General features: G+C 36.4%; 1 protein-coding gene across 6 annotated transcripts in view; it reads left to right on the forward strand.

Moving 5' to 3' along the window:
* The window catches only part of CLCN5 (chloride voltage-gated channel 5), a 176,635-nt gene that overhangs the window by 47,371 nt on the left and 107,621 nt on the right, over positions 1-21,643 (forward strand). The gene's annotated exons all lie outside the window — the stretch shown is intronic.

The raw sequence follows: 21,643 nt of genomic DNA on the forward strand, positions 1-21,643 counted from the left end.
TTGATGAATTGCTCCTTCTAATATCATGACATGACCTTTTTTATTCATGGTAACAGTCTTTGGTCTAAAATCTTCTTTCTCTGATGTTATAAAGACATTTCAGCTTTCTTTTGATTGGTGTTAGTGTGCTATATCCTTTCCTAGCTTTTTACTTTTAACCTATTTATATCATTATATTTAAATCAGGTGTTTTGTAGGCAACATGTAGTTAGTAGGTTCTTGTTTTCTAAATCTAGTCTACAAATTTCTGCTATTAATTGGTTTTTTACACCATTTATACTTCAAAGCAGCTTTATTTAGATATAATTTGCATACCATACAATTCACCCATTTAAAGTGTACAATTTAATGGTTTTTATTATATTTAGAGTTGGGCAACCATCACCACAATCTAATTTAAAAACATTTCTATCACCTCGAAACACTATGCCCATTAGTAGTCAATCCCTACTCCCCCTACCCGCACCTGAGCACTCTACCACCACTAATCTACTTCTTATCTCTGTGGATTTGCCTGTTCTGGAAATTTCTTATAAATGAAATCATACAGTATGTGGTCTCCGCATAATTTTTTTCAAAGTTCATCTATGTTGTAGCAGGTAGCAAACAGTACTTCATTACTTCATTTGTTTTATAGCTGAATAATATTCCTCTGTGTGGATATATGCTACATTTAAGAAAATCCATTCATCAGTTGATGGATATCTGGGTTGCTTCCACTTTTTGGCTATTACAAATAATGCTACTATGAACATTCACACATATGTTTTTGGGTGGACATATATTTTCATTTCTCTTGGCTATATACCTAGGACTGGAATTTCTGGGTCATATGATAACTCTGTGTTTAGTATTTTGAGAAACTGCCAAACTGCTTTCTAAAGCAGCTGCAGCATTTTACATTTCCACCAGCAATGCGTGAAGGTTCCAGTTTCTCTGTGTCCTTGCCAACACTTGTTATTGTCTGTCATGAGATATCTTTCCATTGATTTAGGTCTTTAATTTCTTTTAACAGTGTTCTGGAGTTTTTGCAGTACATATTTTGTACTTCTGTTAAATTTATTGCTAAGTATGATACTATTTTGGTGGTATTATTTATAAACGCAATTGTTTTCTTAACATAATTTTAGATTATTCATTCCTAGTATATAAAAATGCATGGATTTTTTGGTATACTGACCTTGTATCCTCCAACCTTGCTGAACTTATTTATTAGTTCTGGTAGTTTTTTGGTGAATGCCTTAGGAATATATATATATATAAATATATATTTATTTACATATATATTTATATATATTTTTATATATATTATTTATATATATTTATATATATATATAATCATGTTATATATATTTAGAAATAGTTTCACTTACTTTCCAATCTGGATGCCTTTTCTTTCTTTTTCCTGTCCAATTACCGTGGCTGGAACAATATTGAATAGAAGGTGTGAGATTGTACACTTTGTCTTGTTCCTGATTTTAGGTGGAAAGCATTCAATTTTTCACCATTAATTATTATGTTAGCTCTGGGTTTTTCAGAGACGGTCTTTAATCAGTTTGAAGAAGTTCTCTTCTATTCCTACTTTACTGAGTGATTTTATCATGAAAGGATATTGCAGCCTCTGCCCTGGGAGTGAACTGGGATGAGGGTGATCAGGACCCAGTGTCCTTGGCCTGCTGCACCTGGAGTGGAGACTTAGCGGGAGGAGCTCCCATTTTCTTGGCTACCCATGGAGGAGCCTCTGTAACCCAGAGCTGGGGAAAGTGGTAAGGAAGTAGTTCAATGCTCAGATACCACCTGCTCTACTGTTCGTGCTAAGATTTAGCAGATTTTGTTGAATGTATGTTTGCTGTATGCCCTTAGGATAATTTCCAGAAACTTTAAATGATTGCTTTAACAAGTATTTTTTGCCAGTTAAATTGTTGCTTTACGAGGGAGAGAATCTGCCAGGTTCCTTACTCTTCCATTCTGGAACTCTCAGTCAATTATTAGGACTAATTTTTAAGAATGTATTTGGAAATAATTTCAAACTTATAAAAAATTTGCCCAAAAAAGTACAAAGAACACTCTTACACCCTTTACTCAGATTTCAGATTTACCTGTTTTTAGCATTTTACCCTATTTGCTTTATCATATGCATTCTCTGGTGTGTGTGTGTGTGTGTGTGTGTGTGTGTGTGTGTGTGTGTGTGTGTACATATTTCTGAGACACTTGGGGATAAAGGTACATACCTCATGGCCCTTTACCCCCAAATAATTGAGTATGTATTTATTGGGAATAGAGACATTCTCTTACACAACTATAGTACAGTTATCAATTTCAGTAAATTTAACATTGATTATCTTCTCTACCATAGAAATTCTAATCTTCAAATTATTTTTATCCTTCCTCCCTCTGTTTTTGTGTAAGTTTTATATTGTACGTAATATTAGTACAATGGTACATACATGGGAGTAAATGTTGAAATGTTTTTCTACTGACAGACATGTGCGATAAAAAGTTATGAAGCAACCGGTCCAGAGGTTGACAAAATGCTTTCGCTGTATCAGCTCAGCTGATCCTGCCATCACCTCATGACACAGGCAAGAGTTATTTTCCCTACTCATATCACATATGAAGAAACACTAAGGAATTTACTAAAGATATAAAGCTTTGATTAACAAGTGTTGGATATGGGCCTCAACCCCAGGATTTTTGACCCCAGAGTCTGTACTCTTTCCATACCAAATTACCTTGCTGAGTAAGCTCTCAGCTGTCTACATGTGACTTTTCTACTTTATGAGTTTTAAGGCAATTTAAGATCATATAATTCTAAAAATTGTGCCAGATGCTTCCAACATACAGAATTGAAGACATCGTGGTTCAGTGAGGTTAAGTGATCATCATTCTTAAACCCTCCCTTAAGCAAAGTAGGAAAAAGGAAACCTTACTGTCATTTCTCTTCCTTCACTCAAAATCATAACCCCCATACATCCTCAGAAATGTTTGACTTGTCTGCTTAGCAACCTTTATATGGTGCTTTACTGATTACAGTGCATTGTAATTCATTCTTTCATTTTAGAGCCACAATAACCTGGTGAAAACAAGACCCCAAGGTAATGAATATGCACTAAAGTTGGCGAAGCACTCCTCTAGAGCACCTCCTCTTCACTTCTGCACAAACCTGGCTCTGATTGTCCCCTCACCCATCTCTCTGGCAATGCTCATGAATTCTTGTCATGGCTAGTGTCAGAGAGACTTTATACCAGATGATTTTTCTGTGGTTGAAATCAGCAGTCTTCAGGGTGGAATATACAAGATAATGGAATATAGGAAGAAAATAATTAGTATTTTTTGCCATTTCTCTGTTTTTTATTCTCTGTATCTTTCTTTTTTTTAGTTTTAATGTATTTTTTAAAAATTTTATTATTATTGTACTTTAAGTTTTAGGGTACATGTGCACAACGTGCAGGTTTGTTACATATGTATACATGTGCCATGTTGGTGTGCTGCACCCATTAACTCGTCATTTAGCATATCTCCTAATGCTATCCCTCCCCACTCCCCCCACCCCACAACAGTCCCTGGTATCTTTCTTTCTTAACAGCTTTATTGAGATATAATTCACGTATTATACAACCCACCCATTTAAAGTGTACAATTCAATGATCTTAAGTATACAGATGGTCCCTGACCTATGATGGCTCAACTTACTTTTTTTTTTTTGACTTTATGATGGTGTGAAAGCAGTAGCAATCAGTAGAAACAGTACTCTTCTTGCAGTGCTGGCTGGTGGCAGCCAGGTGCAGCTCCTAGTCAGCCATGCATTTTTAACTTACGATATTGTCAGCTTACTATGGGTTTGTTGGGAATGTAACCCCATCATAAGTTGAGGAGCATCTGATTCACACTAATTTCAGAACATTTGTATCTTACCAAAAATAAACTCCCTTCCCATCAGTAGTCACCCCCCAGCCTTGCCAACCATCAGTTTACTTTCTCTTTCTATAGATTTGACTATTTTGGATATTTCATACAAATGGAATCATAAACCATGTGTTCTTTTGTGTCTCACTTCTTTCACTGAGCATAGCATCTTCATGGTTCATCTATGTCATAGCATGTATCGGTACTTCATTCCTTTTTATTGCCTAATAATATTCCATTGTATGGATAGACAGCATTTTGTTTATCCATTCACCAGTTGATGGACATTTGTGTTTCCACTCTTTTGCTATTATTTGATATGAACATTTGTGTACGAGTCTTTTGGTGGACATATGCTTTCATTTCTCTTGGGTAGAACTATGTTCCTAGATTAGTATAAATGCCATGTGTTAAATTTTGAGAGAAAAACAATAGAAAAGTAAGTGTGGCTCTTGGAGGGGATGGAATTTTTCACCTTCCATGTTATTCCTCTCACTCTGCTCCATTTTATTGACCTTCCTATTTAGCTCTTTACTGGCCTTTTTTTTTTTGCCTATTTTCCTGTCCACTTCTTACTCCTGCCAGGGATGCTCTGGGGAAAGGAAACATTTATTGACTAATATTGAAGTGCACATTTAGCTCTGTAACAACCTTATGAGGTTGGTGCTATGAAACCCATTTAAAGATGAGGAAAATAAGGCTCTGAGAGTGTAACTAACTTATTCAAAGTCACCCAGCCCTTAAGAGGCAGAAGTGAGATAAGCCCATCTCTATCTGATTCCAAAGCTCTTTCCATAGGCTGTCTCCCAGATGAAGTGCTTATTGAAGTTCAGAGGACATACCTTGCTTCTCACTTGAGACATCAAAGATGGAGGTGTGAAGGGAGAAAACGAAGTGAAAGATGATGCCAAGATTTTGATGAGCCTGTAGGAGTGGGTTGTGCAAGAGGTGGAAGGATGGTAGGTACCATAACTGAGATACTGAATACAAAGTTAGAACCTGGTTTGGGGAAGGAAGGAGTTGGTGAGTGTTCAGTTTTGGACAAATGGAATTTGAGGACATAATTCATTCAGCTGATATTTCATTGGCTTCTTTATACAAGGCACAGTACAGGATGCTGGAGATACACTGAAGAACAAGATAGCCATGGTCACTACCCTAATGGAACCTGTGGTCTTAGTAAGGCAGAGAGACAAAACAATGGTAATCAAGTGTAATGGGTGCCATGATAGGAGAGGAGGAGGATTTAACCCATTACCAGAGTTTGCAATTTTTTTAAATTTTTGCATGGGTGAAAAATCAGACCTTGGCAATGACCTTGAGTAGTAGGATATAAATAACTCCTACATCCTTAGCGTTCCAATAATGGAACACTAGGCATAAATGGGTTAATTGAAGCATCTAGTGAAAGTGATTCTTTAAGGGTCTGAGGCTAGTAGAAAGAAAATCAAAGTAGCCATAGCTTACAGTACAGGTGGGACATAGAATTACCAGAGATGGATATAGGAGATAAAAAGATTTAAAAGTCATTCATAGGAAAGTAAAGAGTTGATAATATTTTTTTCCTCCATTTACCCTCTTCCTATAAGGGAGGAAAATAGGATTGCCTGCAGCCACATGGAACAGCTGGCAGTTTTCTGACTCTCATCCTCTTATCATCTTTGCATATGCCCTGCCCTCTTCCTGGAGTTCTGATCTCCCATCCCTTTTGTCTAGCCAACTCCTTCCTATCTTTATTATCATTTTTCAGAAAGCTTACCATGACCCCCTGTTCCATGTCCCCATAGTCTCTTGGGCCTACTTGATCACACGGTCTCATCTATTAATTGTGAGTATTCTAAGAGTTGGGACGTGTTCATCAATCCAAGTATCCCCACAGTGCCTGACACATAGTGAGATGGATGTATGAGTGATTAAACAAAAAGGACCAAATAATGAGAAAGACCTGCATCCTTTGAACAAGTGGAAGAGGCTTCATCGCTTCATGGAAAGAGAGCTTGGTCATTAGTCTAACTTGGTGGTTCTTAACCAGTGGTGATTTTGCTTTTCCAAAGAACCCTTGATAATGTCTGGAGATGTTGTTCATTGTCAAAATTGGCTAGGGTATCTACTGGCATCTAGTGGGTGGAGGCCCAAGGATGACACTAACCATCCTACAGTGCACAGGACAGCCCCCCACAACAAAGTTAGTAGTGTCGAGGTCCTAGAAATCCTGGCCTAATCTTGCTTAGCTCTCTCTTACCTAAAGCAGTTATTCTCAAAGTGTGGCCCCCAGCCGTGGCAGCATTACCTGGGAATTGTTAGGAAAATTCTAGGGTCCTACCCCCAAATCCCTGAAGGAGAAACTCTGGGAATGGGGCCCAACACTTTATTTTAACAAACCCTCCAGGGGATTATGATGCAGGTTAAAGTTTGAGAACTGCTCCTAAAGTGAAAAATCTGGTTGGTAACAAGGCCAGCACCAGAACTCTGAGAGGAGCCAGCACAGAAATGGTTGAGGGATAATGTCAGAAAAAATCCACAGGAGGTGATGGTTTCCAGGGTGAAGGGATCATTGGTATCAAATACTGCTAGATATGAGAACAGGCAAAGATGGGGGAGACTGCCACTAATAGTTAAGACTCCTGAAATGGAAGGAGGTAAGGATGATGTTGTTACAAAGTGATGGGTTTGTGCAAGGAGGGGGTGCTGAAAGCTTTTAATTTGTACTCATCTATGCAAAAGAACTGCTTTTAAAATTTCTATTTAATGTCAGGCATGTGGGAATAGCATGCCAGGACTATCATCCCTCTAAAACAGCAGCTCTCATTATTTTTGTGTTTTCTTCCAGGCTTTGTCTATGTACATAACTATTTTTACAGTGGAGTGTTCTGCTGTCACAATAAATACCAAGGCGTTTTCAAAGGTTACGACAGCAGGAGACAGCATTTTGACATGGCAGCAAAGATAAACTTGATCCCATTGTAAGTTTGTTCTGCTTGAGGGGAGGGTTGTTTGGTGGAATTTCTAGGAAAAGCAAGGCAGATGCACTTAGGCTAATTTTGGTTACTTGAGAAGAAAGCAATAAAAACCCCTCCGGTACAGAAATGTTTCTTAAGCCTCATTAAGGAAGCAAGGACACAGATAAGACAATGTGGAAGAAAAGGTCTCTTTTAGCGGAATAAGCTTGCATCATAAATAGTAGATATCCAAAGTGGTATCTCAGAGCCACCCTGTGGTTCCCAGATTTTATTTGGATTGTTCCTTTGGGTTGGATTATTTGCTAAAGAAGCTGTTTATTGAGTGGAGTTGAAGAGCAGGGAGGGATTTTAGAGTGTATCTATTTTGAGGGAGGGGGAATTGAAACAGGCGCTGAGGTTAGGGATTTGTTTCCCTTATAAAATGAATATATTAGGGCAGTGCTCCCTAACATTGAATATACCCTTTAAAAAAGTTATTGTGCATAGGGGACTTTTTCTCAGTCTTTTCAAAATTTGTGAATATATATGTGTCAAGCACAGTGCACACTTCACAGCCCAGGGAAATCGATGGTGTATATGCAATTTATAAATGAGGAAATTGAGGCTCAAAGAAGTGAAACAATGTGGCCAAAGTCTGACATCAAATAAGTGTCTGGAGGGGAATTCTAAACCCTGGTATGTTTCCCTCCAAATCTAGTGTAATTTCCACAGTGACACAGTTGCCATATGTTGTCACATTCTTAGAGGTATCTGAGACTCCTTCATTTCTCTTATCAGACTAATATGTAGTCATTACCCAAGGTTGTATATGAGGACCATAAGGGGACTTTTTCGAAATATCTGTGTTCAGACTCCTCCCATAGAGGACCTCTGGAGTGAGAAAAAGAATAAAAGAGCACTCACCCTCTCATCTCCTAGTGTCTTTTCTTTCCCCCCTCCAGAAGCCCAGGCTGTACACAGGCCGATTTTAGAGTTGTAGAGCAGGTGGTGGGCAGGGCTGGGCTAGCCAGCAGCAGCAAGCCGATTCAGCTGTGATGGTGACAGCTGCTCCTACCCAGCTGCCCATAACTAGCTGATCTCAATCACCTGGGAGAGAGACAGGGCGCAAAAGGGTCTTTTGTGGCCACAGGCAAACTGGAGTCAAGCTGCCTGCGTTCAGATTTTATCTCTGTTGCAAACCAACGGTATGACCTTGGGTAAGCGGATCCCTTAAATTCCCCAGGAGGCAGAATAAAGTAGTGAGTACAGGTAAGGACGCTGAGATCTGAGGGAAGTAGGTTTAAGCTCCAGCTCTACCACATTTACTAATGATATACCCAGGGTGGACTTCATGGGCATGCAACCTGTGCAGTCTCACAGGGCTGGGCACTTGGAAGGGCCTGTGTGTGCAGGGTTTAATCCTCTGCTCTCGCTGTCTTGAAATTCTTAATAGTTTTTGAGTAAGGGACCTTACAGTTTCATTTTGCACTGGGCCCCACAGATTATGTAGCTTGTCCCATACTGCCTTTGGGAAATTACTTAACTGCTCTGAGTCAGTTTCCTCAACCATTGAATGGCGATTGTCCTGAGACTTATATGAGAGGATGCATGTAAAGCACTTGCTTGGCACAGAGCATGGGCTCAGTAGCCAGCATTAACACAGCCCTGGGCATCAGTGTCTTCATCTATAAAAATAAAAGTGTTATATTAGAGCATGTCTAAGATTTCTTCTACAAATACAATGTACTTACAAGATTTCCTTGACCCTAACCAATAGGAAAACACTTTGGAAAACATAATGTAAGGCTTCATTTCCTTTCTTATACAGTTTTGATTTTTTTAAAAAACATGTCCATGTTAATTGTCTCTCTTGTAGCTGCTGCCTGCTAGTCTTAAAATCTCTTTTTGAAAATTCTTACAGAATGATTTTAACCTCTAACCTATTTTAAGTGTGCCTTTTATTTAGTGAATGTAATGTTGAGAGAGGGTAGGTTTGGCCTGTAGACTCTCCCAAGAGGGTGGACTTTTTAAAAACCAATGTGGAAGATAAAGTTAGGAACAAAGTATGTGTGGAAGGGTGGGGGATTGCCGGAGGGGATAGCATGATTAAAGGGGTGTTGTGGTCTTGTTTTAAATACATCACTGGAGATGTAGAGGTCTGGTGGGGACAGTTGAAGCACAACCTCCACAAAGGTGAGGAAGAAGATAATCAAAACACAGGATGGGGGCCAACTTTGGAGAGGATAAAGGGAATGTCATCCTCTGAAATAAGCAAAAATAGCTTGAAGATACCATGATTTTTTAATTGTATGCTGAAATACCTTAAAAGAAAGAAGGGAATACCTTCCCTACAAAGTACCTACTATTTATACAACTCTGTAATCTCTTTGTATCCTTGTTGTTTTTACCAAAAAAGATGTTTCTTTTCTCCCTTTATTTTAGTAAAGTCTTGCTTATAGCCCACCTCTCCCACACTCCCCACCATATGACACACATTGATCATTTTTCACTTTTGATGGCTAGAGTTTAGTCCTTCACAAATACACCAGAGTTTATTTGATCACTGATCAATGAGAAAACATTTGAGAAAAAGATGATTTGTTTGAAAGAATGAACTTGTCTATAAGTCTCGTATATTGCTCATTTCTGTGTATCACAGGGTAGTTCTGAAGCTTTTTACCTGCTTTGAATAATTTCTGTCCATTCTTCCTACTTAACAAAATATAATTCATTTTCTGACAGCCAACTCAATTTGTTTGTCAGTGTCTTCCTGGAATTTAAAATTTTCCTCCAATATTAGGTAAACTTTCAGGTGATTCATTTTAAATGAGAAATAAAAATTATATATATTTATCATGTATTACATGATGCTTTGAAAGGTATACATTATGGAATGGCTAAATCAAGCTAACTAACATATGTATCACTTCACATGTATTACATGATGCTTTGAAAGGTGTACATTATGGAATGGCTAAATCAAGCTAACTAACATATGTATCACTTCACATATGCTTTTTTGTGATGAGAACATTCACCATTATTGTACAATAGATTCTTGAACCTGTTTCCCCTATCTAACTGAAATTTTGTATCCTTTGACCAACATGATTTAAAAAAAAAATTCTGCTGCCTTGCTGGCTTTACCTTAAGCTCTGCTTTCTCTGCTTTATTTTTTCTATAATTCCTGCATATTGAAGCAACTTTACTTTTATAAATACTAACTAATCATATTAAAAATCTAGTACTGTCTAATGTATTTAGGGTTAAAGATATAAATATACCTATGATTATTGGAATGCTGAATTATATGTCTATATATGTCTCCCTTAATTTTACACTACAGTGTTAAAATAGTATCTAAATCTAATCCTACTTTTAGGAATACCTAACAAAAAATTCAGCCATTCCCTCAACTCTGTTGAAAGCTCTGTTTCTCACTAAAGCCTATATTGGCTTTAGTGAAGCAAAATAATTTAAAACAGCCCAAAATGCTTTTTTAAAAGTATATTTTAAATACTGTAAAATAACAAGGAAGTATACAAAAACTATTTATGGATAAATGGACTTGTGATTGGAAACATTAATATCAGCCAAATTTCCAAAAGCAGTTTCACTTAATGGCTGAAATAAAATGGAGAAAAATGTATGAAAGGTTGCCTAACAAATAGATTAGGCATAAATGACTAAAAATGAATCTGAAATTTTAAAAAAATCTGAAAGAAACTGAACTGCTGAAAATATGCATTGAAAGTTACAAAGCAGTCCTAGTGGTGCATGGAAATGACCAGTATATAAAATGCCAATGACTGAAAATACGGAGTTTTCTCTCCAGTATTTGTTTCTTTGACCAATTCATCTAGAGCCAATAGAGTACTGTATCCTTAATAACTGGTATTGCTTTTCAGGAAAATAAAATATGACATACCATTTAGTTTTATTAGGAAGCTAATAGGTGTACAGGGTTTTCATTGCTGATAAGGCTGAACATTTTCTAGTGTTCCTTTCTTGTTGGTGTAATGTTTTTATATCTTTAACCACTTATCTAGGGGAAAGTAGTATTAACCATAAGGGTGTATCAGAACTTTATTATTTTCTATATTAAGTTATTTCTCCATCAAAATCATGGCTACTTCTATCTATATTGCTTTCCTTTTAAACTTTTTAATTTTTAAATGTACTTTTATTGTACTGCCTCTATAATTGCAAAATGTACTTTATGTAGTCATATTCATCACGCATAGGTGACCATTTCATTTTTTGCTTTGGTATTAATGAATTTCTCTCACACATTGAGTGTAAATGCAACATTGCATTTTCTTACAGTTCTTCATAATTAAAAAAAGCTTGAATCCTTGACTCATCTGGAATGAATTTTAATTGTTTCCCCAATAACATTTATTAAAAGTTTTTTTCCCCAATGAGCCGTTATTTCTCTACACTATAATCCAAAAAGGTTATGTGAATTCTTTTTCCAGTGTCCATTCTCCCACACAGCTGAAGTTGCTTGAATCTTATTCTAATTTCTGATTTCATGGTTAATGCATTCCCCTGTCTCTGAGCCTTACACATGTCTTTCTTTACTTTTTAATCTGGAAATCCAACCCTTATGCTACACCCCAACCACAAAATGATGATCAAACAAACAAAACTACATGTTGAAATTGCATCAGAAAATACTATGGATATTTTCTTTCATTTTTCCATGCCTCAGCTTTAGCATCTCAGTCTTAGCAGGTTTTTAATTATATTTATTTACTTATTTTTAAGTGAAGTTTTAAAGTATTAAAGTCAAGTCTTTCAAGATTCAGCCTTTAAATCTAAATATTACTAAATTTATTCCTTTCTACTACTAGCAGCCAGACTCAGCAGCCATTGAACCTTTTTTTTTTTTTTTGAGAGTGAAAAGCAAAAGAACTCAGAGAATAATGTATTTGGACTACAATTAATTGTGTATAAGCTAAATATGAAGCTGAAACCAATATAATAAAGGTTCTCAAGATTCAATTCATCAGACTCTTAGTGGCATCATTAAGGAAATCAGTTTAAGTCTTCACACCCAGTGTACTTTTGCCTCTGAGTCTTAGGACTTTGTAATGCTTCTGACTAGAGCCAGTCAGTCTGTATTGGAGGGGATCTGGGGGCGATTATCCTGGCTTTAGTGGCAGTTACTCTTTTCCCTTTTACTGCCATTATCAACCCTGCTCATTTCGTCCTCTGTTTTGCCCTGCTAATTTTATGCTGTTTTGCAAAGCAGCAACAGAGACAAAACATTGCTTTTAATGCAGGTGGCATTTAGGGGAAAAAAAAAACAGTTGGAAGTTTTAAGAATAAACATTATAAAATCCCTTTGAATGACTTGAAGGGCCCAGGGTAGCATAAATGTAGAGGAGCCTTCTGCCCCTGATGGGAGACTTGTAATGTCTTCTTTCAGGATTTCTTTTTATATTCCAACAAATAGCATCATATAAAACCAGACTGAAGAACTCTTTTTTTTTTTAATTCAATCAAGGGCCACTGACCCGCTGAAAAAAATTCAATTAAGGTTGCTGAGGGGGAAAAAAGCAACTGTTACAAAGTAAAGAAATAGAACTTGTTCAATTCATCTGGTTTTAAAATTAGGAAAAGAGAACATAAACCCCCCTTTTCAGTAAATGCAGCAAGTAATTTACAAGAAGTACTTCAGTTTTATGTTATTGGCAATTAAAAGAGAAACACAGGAGAGAGAAAAAAGAGGAGTATACTGAGTTACATACACATAAAGGCTAGCCCCCTCTTAAGAGGTACGGCTCTAGAATAGAAGCAACTAAATAATGCCAAACGTTGCTATTGAAAGCATTCTAAAAGATGCAGTGCAAGCTTGTGTGCGTGTATGGAAAACTATTTTACACGTTTAAAATGGCAACTATATATATTATTGTCCATCTCTTACAAATTCTTGTCTTTCTCCTTTGTTTCTGTTTGTGTGTGTGTAGAGAGAAAATATTTTCACATTGCTTTTATCACTGGGATACGGTTTTTTGTTATTATAGACTTTTCCAACTAATGTTATTTTGTACATTCATTTCCATGTATTAGTGTGCTACAAATACTTATTTTAATAGCTAAATTAAATAATATCACATAGATTCCTTGAGATCAGAGACTGGATGTTTTTCCCCCAGCATTATTGTGGTATAACTGGTATACAAAAGACTGCACGTAATTAACATTACAATTTGGTGCAGAGACTGCATGTTTTGTTCACGTGCATATCACTCAAAACAAATGATCAGTGAGTGAGGAGAATAAATGCTACATCAGAGTTGGTTCAATCACATCTCTGGGATTTTAAAAATAAATCATGAATACAGCTGTGAGGAACATCTTTTGTACAAGATGGAAGATGAGAGGTCTATTTGGGGGGACAACTGTTCTCTGAACTGGGAGTATTAGCTCAGAACAATACAGTTGGTATATGCTGTAGTATAAACAGTTTGAGTATCTTCATTATCCACATAGCCCCACAGTTATTTGGTTTTCTCTTTATTTTTTTACTAACACGATGAGTGAATATGGTACTTCATACTCATTTACTTGTGCTTCATTTTATTCATTCCTTTTATACAAACCATCTGCTTCTAACCTCTTGTTCTGAGGAACTGGCATTAACTTTGTATTTAGATGGGAAGCTTTTTGTGTGTCATATTGTCATACTACAGAGGTAACATTGACAGGATTCAGCAAGTGTCCAGGTGGAAAGGAAGGCCTAACCTGTTGTCCTCTTTGCCATGCTTAGTCTCCACAGTGTATATGTATACAGGGTAAAATATATATGAGATATATTAAAATATATTAATATACATAATGTATTATAAAATAATATAAAATATATTAATATACATAATATAATATATATTAAAAATATAAAACTTTGGTGGTTGCTGCTGTGGTAAAAGGGATTTCTGCCCTTCTAATTGTATTCAGTAGATATTTATTGTTGGAGTGGGAATGCAATAGATTTTTGTGGTTTTATAATTTGCGCCTTTGTTGAACTCATTATTTTTAACTTTGTTTATCAAACATCTTGGCCTTTTAGGTTATGTAATTACTTATATATTGTGCAAATGGTGTTGTTTTTATTTTATCTTCTTACATTACTCATTTATTTTTCCTACTTGCTTACAATGGTCAACATTTTCTAACACAGTTAATTAGGAATGATGATTGGATATCTTTTTGGGGTTTTTCTTCTTTATTTTAGATGACTACTTCTAATGTGTCTCTCTTAATAACATTGACTTCTTTCAGACATATCATATTTGTGATAATAAAAAATCCTACTTTTAAAATTAGAAACAAATGTTGAATTTTTAGATTTTTTACCCTATTTATTCACTTAATTGTGTTTTTACTGTTTTTCTTATGAATTGTCTTTATTTAAAATCAGCCATGCAACCTCAGACTAAAATCCAACTGATCATGACAAACAATTCTTTTAAAGTGTTGATGTATAGCTTGCTAATATTGTATTTAGAATTTTGCATCAATGTCCAGAAATAGGAACAATCTATAATTTTCCTTGTGAGATTTTAGCCATAGATCAGGTTTAGTAATCAAGCTGACCTTAGTTTCATGAAAATAAGTTTGATAGAACAATTTTAGGAACCATTTGTACTGTAAGATTATTATTTATTTAATATTTGAACTGCTTGTGTCTTTTTTGTTTCTTTTGAAGTTTGTTGATAATATTGCTTATTTCTTTTCTTTCTTTCTTTCTCTCTCTTTCTCTTTCGTTCCTTCTCTTCTTTTCTTTTTTGTTTTTTTCTTTTATTTCTACAGGGTCTCACTCTGTTGCCCAGAGTGGAGTGTGGTGGGCAGTGACATAATCATAACTCGCTGTAGTCTCAAACGTTGGGGCTCAAGTGATCCTCCTACCTCAGCCTCCTGAGCAGCTAGGACAATAGGCATGCACCACCACACTCAACTATTTAAAAAATTTTTTTTTGTAGAGACGGGATCTCACTATGTTGCCCAGGCTGGTTTCAAACTCTTGGGCTCGAATATCCTCACACCTTGACTTCCCAAAGTGCTGGGATTAGAGGGGTGAGCCACCGTGCCTGGCAATATTGCTTATTTCTTTGGTATATTTAGATTCTTTCTCTCATTTTGAGTACTTGGGCTGTTTTTTTTTTGCTGTTGTTGTTTGAGAAACTTACTCCTTTTTGTGATTTGTGGCATATTTACATATGGAATTCCCTAATGATTTAAATAGTTTTTTAGTAAGTATAACTAAAATATATCTTTAAGGTGAATAATTTGTCTACTTTTCTCCTTTATTTAATTGTACTGGCAGTTTATCAATTTTATTCGTTTTTTCAAACTTCTTAATACAGGCGTGTAGAGCTATGGATACATTTTGATTCCTTGATTGTATTTTAATTAGTTCTTTATTCAGTTGCCATTTAAGAAAGATATTTTTATGATTTCTATGTGGTTGGATTGTGTTCTTATATCCCATTTCCTATCTTACTGTCTTGTGCTGTGTAGAAATCCTGCCATTTCATATTGAGAATGTCTTTGTGTTTGACTATATGACAAATTATTGTGAGAAAGAACATTTTCCCAAATATTTTTACATGAATCAAATCATATAAACCTGATGATTATATTGTATTGTCTGGTTTAGATATACTGAATTCTTTCATTGTTGTTTTTGTTGCTAATTTGATTCCTCATTCAGCTAATGGAATAATCTCTAGGATTGTGTTTGTCTCTGTCGTATTGAATTGATCAGTTTTTTGTTTTATAAAAAATCATTAGATCTTTAAAAATTTACTGGATATTTAAAAAATCACTTCCTGTTTCCTTTATCATTTTATAGTGTCCTTGTGCTTTGGTTTAAGATGTACTTTTTTTCAGATTCTGTGACTAATATCTTGCTCTTTTTATTTGCATTAACAAACTTAAAGGGAGTAACCATTTAATTAATTAATTTGTTTACTTTTCAAATACCTAGAGTTCAAAGAGAGAGTAACCATTTTAAACATGTATTTTTATAACTAGAGTCAGATTTTATTAATCCAATTTCTAATTAATATTTAATACATAAAATTTAGCATTATAATTATCTTACATTTTTAACTTAGCAGTGAACTTTTCTTTTTAAATTCATACTCTAGTAAATTTGAGGGATGATTTAATGATATGAAAAGATAACCTTAATTTCTTAATTTATCTTGTGGCTTTGATTCCTTTTAGTGCTGTGTGCAACACTTTCTTTTATTTGTAATAATGTATTGGTTATTTGCCATAGAACTGTAGTCTTTCTTAGGTAGTTGTTAGGCCGTCCATCTTATTCTATTTGTTTTTCTTGTGGTCTTTCCTATGTTATCTTAATTGATGCTCTCTTCACCCTATCATGGTGACTTTGCTTATCTACTTCTAGTATTGTAAAGCTTTTAAAATTGGACCTGGCTTACTTCTTAAACAATTACAGTAATTGAGTCCTATCGTGATTATTTTTTATTAATAATCCTTGTTATTCTTCCAGATTTTAAAAAATGGTGTATTTAATTTCAAAGGCGCCATCTGCCCAGATGTCTGGCTTCTTGTACTACTTTTTTAAGTCATTTTCTTTATTTAGTAACAATTAACATGTTTTAAAAACGCCTACATGAAATTTTCTTTCAGTGACATGAAAATAAATTGTTTTTTCCTTAGCTGAACGTATATAAAGATTTATTTGTCTAAGTTTCTAAAATCTTTTGGGTCTTTCAATCTTTATGTTAGCAGATATGATATTTAGCACATTCATAAGTTGTATAACTTTCAGATGATTAAGAGTTTCCTTTGTATGTATGGCTTAATTTTCCATCATTTCTCATTTTTAATATACAAAAAATGTCAGTTATTGAAGAAAATTCTTAGGAATCTACCTTCCTCTTTCCACTAGTAGATTATTTCCAAAATGATGAGTTAAATGAAAAAATTAATGTTTCTTTACTGTGGGACTTCTCATGGCTTTTAATCCATTTGTATGTTTCCCCAATTTTTTCTTGATCATGGGACAATCATACTTCATTTTTTAAGGAACACATAGAAACCTCTTATAGAACCAAGTGTTACATAATTCACAGTTTAGAAAATGCTGGTGTAAGGTATATATACTTGCTTTTATTTAGAAGAGGCTGCTGAACTTGATAATCTTCAAAAACAGAAGATTATGTAATAAGGAAAAATGCATGGCATGTTCAGGAACAGTTAACGCAGGTGTAGAATAAGCCAAAAGCCCAAAGCATCAGAATGCTGATGAGGGAATTAGCTTATATTGCCCAACACATTTTTTGAAATGACATATTCTTATTCTCATAGGTACTCCCATCCCACCTTATATTCCTAAAATATTTCATTGGCCAAAGTCCATTGACATCACCTGTTTATTGAAATTTCTAGAAGTATGACCTCTTTTTAGGAGACTGCAGCCACATAGTTTTTTGCTATCTTCTAAACTTGTCCAAAGTTGTTGGTAGTCCCCCCACCTTTAGGTCAAGATAACCCCTTTGGAGAGTAAGCAGTACATTTCTCATAGAAGGTGGATGGTATCTTATCCAGTAAGACCATCTCTCAATCAGATTTGGGGAGAAGTTTATCTGTATGTTCTTTTAGAAAATTACTAATAGCAACACACTTGTATAAAAAGTCTATTAAATACTGCTTATTAAATCCCTAAGAATCAACCTCTGACAGGTACAAGTATGGCAAGGGGGAAAAACCATATTCCTTCCTATAAGATACCCTTGGAAGTACTTATGTGCCACAAACTGAATGTTCACAGACCACTGGTGTTGTAATTGTCAACTTTATATGATGGTGTTTTCAAGGCATAATAAAACATTCTTCCTGGAAGTCCCCTAAACAGAGGGGGCATCTTAATTAGGCTCTATTAAATCTTGGGTAACATTTCTGTTGCCTGTGCCTGTGAAAGGGAAGCCCAGGGAAGCATTGCTGTTTAGACCTTTACAGAATGGCCCTCCCCTCAACCATGGTCCTGTGCAAGCGGCTATTTTAATATGCTCACTACAGTGCAAAGGAATCCCAGGGTAGAAATGTGATAGATTCATTTGCAGATTATACAGACTTGAGTTTTGGCATTTAAAGTGATGCTTTTACACCCTTTCCTGCTTTCTATGGTTATACCCCTAGGCCCCCTGACACTGCCGAAAAACTCCTCCATCCTCCAAATAATTCAGTGTTTTGAGTCCCCTGCATTCCTCAGTAGTCTGTCTTTTCTTGTCATTCTCTGTCAAGGCTTAAGTTTCTCTTTTAGAGAAGCAAGGCCTTTTTATGTCTGGCCTCCAGCAAGAAACCTCAGAGTCCTGTTTTTCCTTTTTTACCCCCAGAAAGTTAGCGTATCTAAGCTTTGCCCCTTGTTCTCCAGTGCTATATTGTCCATCACCCAGGCCAGGGGTGATTCCGGTTCAGCCTCCTCACCACTATTTCCAAGTTACTCTAATCCCTTTAGTTCCTGAGAGATTGTTCTCCCTTCCAATCAAACGCAAGAAACTGCTGCCAGACTCTGCCCTATAAAATAACTGCATTCTTTATGTGACTTCCTTATTTATGAACCTAGGGTGACTTTCCAGTGCTTATTGGCTCCAGTATAAATTCTTCTGTGTGCTTGGATTTCAAGTCCTTGGTAATCTTGCCTCACCTCATTTATCCGTCCTTACCTCCCCCGGCTCTCTATACACACCCTAGCCCCTCGAATGACAGTACCACCACTCTTTCTCAAGGCAGCTGTGCTGAAAGACCTGCTCTTTTAATTTTTTTTAACTTGTAAACTGTCATAGACAGATACTTTTGCAAAGTACAATAAAAATCATTAGAAGAAGAAAATTATAAAGCCATATAAAATATAAGCTTCATTTTTATTAGATTAATGAACATAAAATTACTCTGTCAAATTGGTATAAAAGTCCCTAAATGCTTATTAGTTTCCTTTCTTATCTCTGTAAACACTGATAATATGGAGTGTGGGGGCTGGCACCTGTCCTTGTGCCATACTAGGAGTAGCACAGCTTTGCCGCCTGTTCGTTCACACTGCCTTGCCTTTTGCTTGGACTCTCCCTGTCCTAGCTTGGAATGCCCTGTCTTTTTCAGCAACCTCACCTGCCCATGCTAGAGAGCCCCAGGTGGGTTCACGCTGCAACTATACAAGGCTATACTTAATAGACCCCTTCCTTGAACTCCTGCTGCTCTACTTACACTTAATATCATACCTCTTTTTTTTTTTTTTTGGAGACAGGTTCTCTCTCTGTCGCCCAGGCTGGAGTGCAGTGGCATGATCGTGGCTCACTGCAGCCTGGAACTCCTGGGCTCAAGCAGTCCTCCTGCCTTGGCCTCCTGAGAAGCTGGGACCACAGGTGTGCACCACCACATGTGGCTAATTTTTTTAAAAACATGTTCGTAGGGACGGGGCCTCCCTATGTTGCCCAGGCTCATATTTTTATTTTTCTATAATTGTTCCATCTCTGTTAGTCCTACCCACTCAATGCCTTTGCAAGTAGCCTGAGATACTAAAGGGTATAAAGTGTGTGTCCTTCCCACAAAAAACGTATTATATCCTAGCACCTAGCCTTTTAAGTCCCTTGATACATATTCGTTAAATGAATAAATGAATCTTCTATCCAAATAAAAATATGTTTCTCTCCTCCAAAAGATGTGTCTTCTATAATACATAGTAGGCACTTCATTAAAACATTTATTTAAAAAGTATATTAAGTTGATTGGTTATAGTCTGGGAACATACAGAGCACCTACTTTCCAACATTGCCCTGTGACATAACCTTTTGGCTACTGTATGGTGCTGACTATGGCACAGGTTTTGGTTTAGTGCCTTTCATAGTCATTTTTCTGCTTATTCAGACCAGTTATTGCCGGATCTGATTTTATGGTTCCATGGAGTGTCACATGTTGAGAATGTGAAACTTTAAAAATTGTTTTCTGTTTACCCCAATTTCCATTAACATTCATATTCACATGCCATGCAATGTTTTTTTCTCTTTAGAGGTTAGAGGAACCTTTAAGAGAGTATTACAGTTGCCCAAAATTTGGAAATTGCTGAATTAACCTGTTTCAGGTTAAGTGGTTCAGTCTGCACACTCCTTGATCAATGAATCATTTCTCCGTTATGTACTTAGTTTCAGGGTCGGTAATTAATAAGCAGTGGCATTTCCATCTCAACCAGTGAGTTTATTCCAAATTCCTGGAATAAGCATTTGTATGGCAAGGTGGGTATTTTCCCCTTTCATTTATTTATTTATTTATAATTGTTTTTCAATAGTTTTGGGGGAACAGGTGGCATTTGGTAATGTGGATAATTTTTTTTTTTTAACAGAGTCTCGCTCTGTCGCCCAGGCTGGAGTGCAGTGGCACGATCTTGGCTCACTGCAACCTCTGCCTCCCGGGTCCAAGCAATTCTCCTGGTTTAGCCTCCCAAGTAGCTGGGCTTGATAAGTTCTTTAATGGTGATTTCTGAGATTTTGGTATACCCATCACCTGAGCAGTGTACACTGTACCCAATGTGTAGTCTTTTATCCCTCACTCCCCTCCCACCCTTCCCCACAAGTCACCAAAGTCCATTGTATCCTTCTTCTTCATCTTAGTCTTCGTCTTGGCTCTGTCACCCAGGCCAGAGTGCAGTGATGCATTCTTGGCTCACTGCAACCTCCACCTCCCAGGTTCAAGCAATTCTCCTGGCTTGGCCTCCCAAGTAGCTGGGCTTACAGGCACCCGCCACCACACACAGCTAATTTTTGTATTTTTAGTAGACATGAGATTTCACCATTTTGGCCAGGCTGGTCTCAAACTCCTTACCTTAAGTGTTCTGCCTGCCTCGGCCTCTCAAAATGCTGGGATTACAGGCATGAGCCACCACACCCAGCCATTATATCATTCTTATGCCTTTGCATCCTCATTGCTTAGCTCTCATTTATAAGTGAGACTATATGATGTTTGGCTTTCCATTCCTAGTAACTTTACTTAGAATAATGGTCTCCAACTCCATCCAAGTTGCTGCAAATGCCATTATTTCGTTCCTTTTTATGGCTGAGTAATATTCCATGGCATATATGTATATGCCACATTTTCTTTATCCACTTGTTGATGGATGGGCATTTGGGCTGGTTCCATATTTTTGCAATTGCAAATTGTACTGCTATAACATGCGTGTGCAAGTGTCTTTTTCATATAATGACTTCTTTTCCTCTGGGTAGATACTCAGTAGTGGGATTGCTGGATCAAATGGTAGATCTACTTTTAGTTCTTTAAGGAATCTCCATACTGTTTTCCATAGTGGTTGTACTAGTCTACATTCCCACCAGCAGTGTAGAAGTGTTCCCTTGTCACCATATCCACGCCAACATCTATTATTTTTTGATTTTTTAATTATGGCCATTCTTGCTGAGGTAAGATGTATCACATTGTGGTTTTGATTTGCATTTTCCTGATAATTAGTGGTGAGCATTTTTTCATATGTTTGTTGGCCATTTGTATATCTTCTTTTGAGAATTGTCTATTCATGTCCTTAGCCCACTTTTTGAGGGGATTATTATTTTTTCTTGATTTGTTCGAGTTCTGTGCAGATTTTGTATATTAGTTCTTTGTCAGATGCATAGTTAGTGAAAATTTTCTCCCATTCTGTGGGTTGTCTGTTTACTCTGCTGATTATTTCTTTTGCTGTGCAGAAGCTTTTTAGTTTAATTAAGTCCCATCTATTTATCTTTGTTCTTCTTGCATTTGCTTTTGGGTTCTTGGTC

The sequence above is a fragment of the Homo sapiens genome, chromosome X (genome assembly GCF_000001405.40).
Source record: "Homo sapiens chromosome X, GRCh38.p14 Primary Assembly".
Classification (NCBI taxonomy): domain Eukaryota; kingdom Metazoa; phylum Chordata; class Mammalia; order Primates; family Hominidae; genus Homo; species Homo sapiens.